Here is a 5,330-nt window from a genome sequence, read left to right as displayed (position 1 = left end):
TTATCCTCACTGATTCTTCACAACAGTCCTATGAGGTTGTGAAGATGTGTTGTGAAGAAGACCTATGTGTTCATTTGAAAGACAAAAAACCCCAGGACTAGAGGCTACGTAGATTGTCTAATATCACATAAGGAGGGTGACAGCTGTGAGTCACTAACTCAGATTATCTGATTCCAAACCTCATGTTTTTGCTGAATATCATAAAGGGGAAAAAATTTCTTTCCATGTTTTACATTTTAGAAACCTAACACAAATAAATAATATAACTTTTGAAAATAAAAGGATGTCATGCAAGTTACACCAATATAAAGTATCTAATTACAAGGGTATTTCATATTATTAAGTAAGGGCGATAAAATATAACTTCACTTTCTGAAGAGTGATTTTCATTCAATGATTTCATGAAATACTGGCTGTGACCATGTGTCGATAGAAGTGTGACTCTGTATTCCAAACAAGGACAAGGTTCTTGGTACAAAGCAAATAATTAAAGTGCATCTGGGAGAAGCATCATTAGTCACTGTGCTTCTGTAATTATTTGTGGAGTGTAACAGCTCTCTCTCCAAAACTCAACCCCACCATTCACTTGTCCATGAGAAGAAAATGCCACTTGTGTGTGTATCTATCACCCTCAATAAAGACAACAAACGTTTCTAACTGTATGCATATTTTCTTAAATTTAGGTATTTACAATTTTTTGCGTATCTTCAGAAAAATCTGTTAAGGGGAAATTAAAAGACATTTTCTGAGACTCTGAAAACAATATTTGTTAACTGAAACTTCCAGGGCAACCAAATTCATTTTATTCATATATTTGGCTTAGAAAATGAAGTTTATTCAGTGGGAAATTTTCAGGTGTTTGTCCCCAACTTCTCAGTATTTCCCGGTAATGCGATTATTATACATTAACCTTCTACCAAGTGAAAATAATGGCAATTAAAATAGACTAAATCTCAGTCATCTGTATTCATATGTGTTTTCGTTGACTGCTTTAAGAGTCAGGACACACATGATTATCAAAGATCCTCTCATTACCCATTTGGTTTAATAAAATTCTTTTTGGAAAGTTTCTGATATCAAGTAGATATTATGAATACATATTTCCTTTTTATCACTTTATTAAAAGATTTTCAACCATGAAGTTTCCTCTCCAGGGATACAGTGGACTTCAAAACTTCAAAAACTTTAATAGATTTTAGTTTTCTTAGGTATACTCTGGGCAATGTATGTTTTAATTATGTTTATGTAATTTATCTAAAAATTCTTGCTTGGAAATTAGTCTATAAATACGTACTATATATGCAGTATTCATTTTTAATCTAATTGGATGGCAAACTTATTAGCCTACAACAGAGACATTTAATTTTGCAACAAAATTCTACATTCCTATTCTGAATTGTTTAGTTTATGTAGCTTTTGCATTAATTAAAAGTGACTTGGAAGTGAGTCCACGATACGATGAATTATAAATTTATGGGTTTTTAAATTTTCACACAAACCAGAAACTTACAAACGATACTTTTACCAATATTCTGTTATCACATTATTGCTTTATCTACCACTTTTTATTTAATTAAAATAATGCAATATTGTGATTTTAATAATTGTTTAAAATTTTTATTGGTTATTTGTCTTTCAAGTGTTAATGTTATTTATTTTGATACAAACTATCCATTCCCTATGCTAAAAACATGCAGAAGCTCCTATAAGCAAGTTTAAAATTCAAATGCAATGTTTCATGTTAGCAGTTAAAGAATGAGATAAATCACTACTATTCAGTCTCAGTTTGATTTTTCAACCAGAAAAACAATGTGTTTTAAGTTTCACAAGATATTCGTTTCTAGGCTTAACAACCTTAACTAGACATTCCTGAGCAGGCTAACATTTGTAACCAAAAACTCTGTCTTTGTGCAAGGAGCTTGGCTTTGTGCAAGGAGCTTGGCTGTTGCGTGGGCAACAGGAATATCTAGTTAGATATTTGATACATTTTTCACACTTACAGAATTTGCTACATAGAAATCTCCTTTCTCTTTCATTTTGGTTTTTCTGTCCTTGGGCATTGCCATTTAATTTTGGGTTATCCACCCCTCAAAAGTTAAAAAAGACAACACAGAAAAATGATGCTGAGACCAAACTTCTGCAACAAGGAAGTTACAGATCACAAAAACATTATGCCAAATGCCAGTTAGGTTATATTTGCTTATGATATTGCTTCATTGAGCTTATATAAAGAACAGTTAGGGATATTCATTGGTGTCTGTGCATCTCTATGTGGTAGAAGTATTGGTATTGGAAGACTAAGTCAATCTGTACCACAATCACTAATTCAGCAACATCGTTTCGAGTTCTGCCATTTAATAATTGACTTTTATGGAAGCTGTAATTTCTGAGCCAAAATTATGATGCAAAACAGTAACAGATGCAGTTACAGTTGCTTTTGTGTAAATCAATGTTTAGCATAACCCGCTGCTGAAGGGACGAAAATGCCTGCAGGAATGCCTGTATAAATTACTGGATTTATTCAAAGAGCTTTTTAATCTTTTCTATCTCAATTAGAAATCAGAGAAAGAAGAAGATGGAAAGTAGAAAAATAGAGCAAATGGGAAGAGAAAGACCAGAGAGGATGGGTGCTTTTCTTTCCAGAAAGAAAAACATGAGTTTATCCACAGAAATGTATAGCATAAATGTGAATAAATAACTCTTTATGATGGACACAGCAACACCACAGGTGATGTGGCAATTGTCATTAAGTTTATTGTCTTCTACGTGACAGATAACAGAAACCCTTCACCACCTTGAAGACTTATAAGACAAAGCGCCTGTGTATAATTAGTAAATACGTATTTTTATAGAGGAGACTTACTATGTGTTAATTAGGAAGTCATTGTAAGAACTGATTGCAATGGGAGAAAAAGATTTATCCAGAGCAGGTAAAGAGAGTAACAAGAGAAAAAGTCAGGAGTGGCCATTTGGCTAGTTAAAAGAAGGCAAGCAGGTGAGTGGAAGACATAAGACTAAGTGGGGAAGTATCATTCACAGAAAATATTCAGGTATTTCACCTATAAGGCATGAACCTTGGCTAGTAAGCAGGTTAAAGCAGGAATGTGTGTGTGTGGGTGTGTGGGTGTGGGTGTGTGGGTGTGTGTGTGTATGTATACCCCCTGCAGTTTTTATTTTGGAATCCTACCCTCCTGATTCTGATCGAGTAATGAATGACTCCACATGCTAATAAATACTGTTCCAGGAACCTAAAACAATAGTGACTAGCAAAGCCTTGGGATTTCCTAAGGAGACAGCAGGCTTATCAGAAGGCAGTATGCAGCATTTGGATAATGGCGTTATCACCTTATAGAATCGCTCAGGTTCCTGGGATTTTGAAGTCCGATTCCTAGATGAAATCTACTGTGGATTCACAGGCTAATGAATTGACAAAGAAGCAGAGAAACTACATATGAAAATGAGAGTTTGGTTACTTGACAAAAAAGAAGAGGGAGAGATAGAAAACCAGTATTAATAGTTTTCAGAATTTCTTCACTTCTGAAATTTAAATTGCTGCTTTGAATCTTTTCTCCCTTTTTGCCTTTCTTCTTCTTTTGATGAAAAGCTGAAAACTTAAAGTACAAAGGTTCCTGCAGCCCAGCAGCAGATTCACGGCCTAAGTCAGTCAGTGAAAATTTTCCAGGTTCCCATTCTTCTTTCACACTAGAAGAGGCCAGACTCAGGGCAGCCATTTTATGGAAGTCTCAGATCTTTGCCACGTTACTCACATTGTGTGGGGAAAGAGCCCTGGCCAGATAAAAGATTCTCATTAATTTATAATGGTGGTAATGTTTTTCATTCAACATGCAAGATGGACACAGATGGGCCCTGTGTTTCTTGATTTCCGCTCTACAAGACATCAAATGCAATGCTTTGCACCGGATTCCTAGTGGGAGAGGTAGAAAGGAGATTTTTCATGCTACTTATGGAAGCTGAAGGATAATGACTCAGGAAGAGTCACTTACAGAGAGTTTAGGGAGCATTGGTGGCTGCTTCATTGTTCTTTTCACAGCAGGCTAGAGGGCAAAAGTTTATCAGAAGGGGAGAAAAAAACCTCAGGGTTAAATGGAACTCAATAGAAATTCAAATATGCTTAAATAAAATTTTCTCTTGGGCTTTAATTCTGGTCTTTGATTTGCATTCTTCTAAAAAAATTAAATGTTTTAAATATGGCAGTCCTTTTGTATCCTTCATTTAATCACAAACCTTTGACTTTGGGCATTGTTAATAACATTAAATATTGAGCTTACATTGTTAGCTTAATAGTAAGTGGAAAGGATGGCTTTGTAATTGTATGATTTTTCTCACTCAAGCCGTTTCTTTTAATAAGTCCGTTTAAAAATTCAAGAGACAGTCTAATATTAGGGTACTTACTAGAGGAACTACTCATCCAAGAAAGAGGCATAGCTGGTGCAAATCATTTAAAATTTAGAAATTAATGAGTTTTACTGAGTTTATCCTTGAAATTTATTGAAATGCCACCTAAAATGTGTGTTAATTGGGCGTACAGTATCCTAGGTTTTCTAAATATTTGCAAGCTAGTTTTTAAATAACATTTGAAACTAAACCTCATAGAATTAACAGTCACTAACCCTTTATTGAACCTCATCCCTCTATCAACTCAATTTCAAGCTAAGTTGTTCATAATAATCAAATTAGCTGTGTTGACTTCTGTTACACCACACTTACAATATATTATTAGTAAGGGTTTTTTAATTATCTGTCACTTTTTAAATCTTTTTGGCTTTGAGAATTTCTAATTCTACTTTTTTTTACCTAGTGAACTGAAAACTATAGGTTTCCTCTTGTACATCCGAGGGCCCAGAAAGCTGGCGTAAAGTTATGGATCCTTTGTAGTTTAGGATGCTCTGTATTCAAATCAGTTTCAGAAGAAATGGTTTGAAGTCAAGAAATGGTCACATAATGGCTATGGAAAGTGTTCAGATATATTCAGCAGTTTGTGCGCAATATTGTAGAGATATTGGTATCAGAAAATCAAGTCAATCTGAGCAAATTTATATCTAATCAAATTTTCTGTTAGTAAAAGGGAGAAGTGTCTATATTTATGTCTATTTATATTGATTGATCAAGATAGGTAGACATTGACAGATAAAACTGACAGCACCATGTATACAATAAAGATTATTAGTTATCTATCAATATCTACTGTCTCTTTTTTTGACAGTAGGACTGAGTTAAGCTTTGCACACGTCCTCTCTGCTTTAGCCTACATACCCTAGATTTAGTATGGCCATGGGCCTGCATTCTAAATAATAGGATGAGACCAGAAG

At 34.4% G+C, this 5,330-nt stretch overlaps 1 annotated feature.

Moving 5' to 3' along the window:
* Nucleotides 4,747-4,916: an enhancer, noted in NCBI's record as "experimental_9174 CRE fragment used in MPRA reporter constructs". NCBI's record gives its function as "activates a minimal promoter by MPRAs in K562 erythroleukemia cells, with activity observed for both the introgressed and non-introgressed 1:82590043 variant alleles {active_cell/tissue: K562}" and the evidence as "EXISTENCE:reporter gene assay evidence [ECO:0000049][PMID:34662402]".

This window comes from Homo sapiens, chromosome 1 (assembly GCF_000001405.40).
Source record: "Homo sapiens chromosome 1, GRCh38.p14 Primary Assembly".
Lineage (NCBI taxonomy): Eukaryota > Metazoa > Chordata > Mammalia > Primates > Hominidae > Homo > Homo sapiens.
Note: the sequence above shows the minus strand (reverse complement) of the source record. Positions and strands in the feature narration are given on the sequence as shown.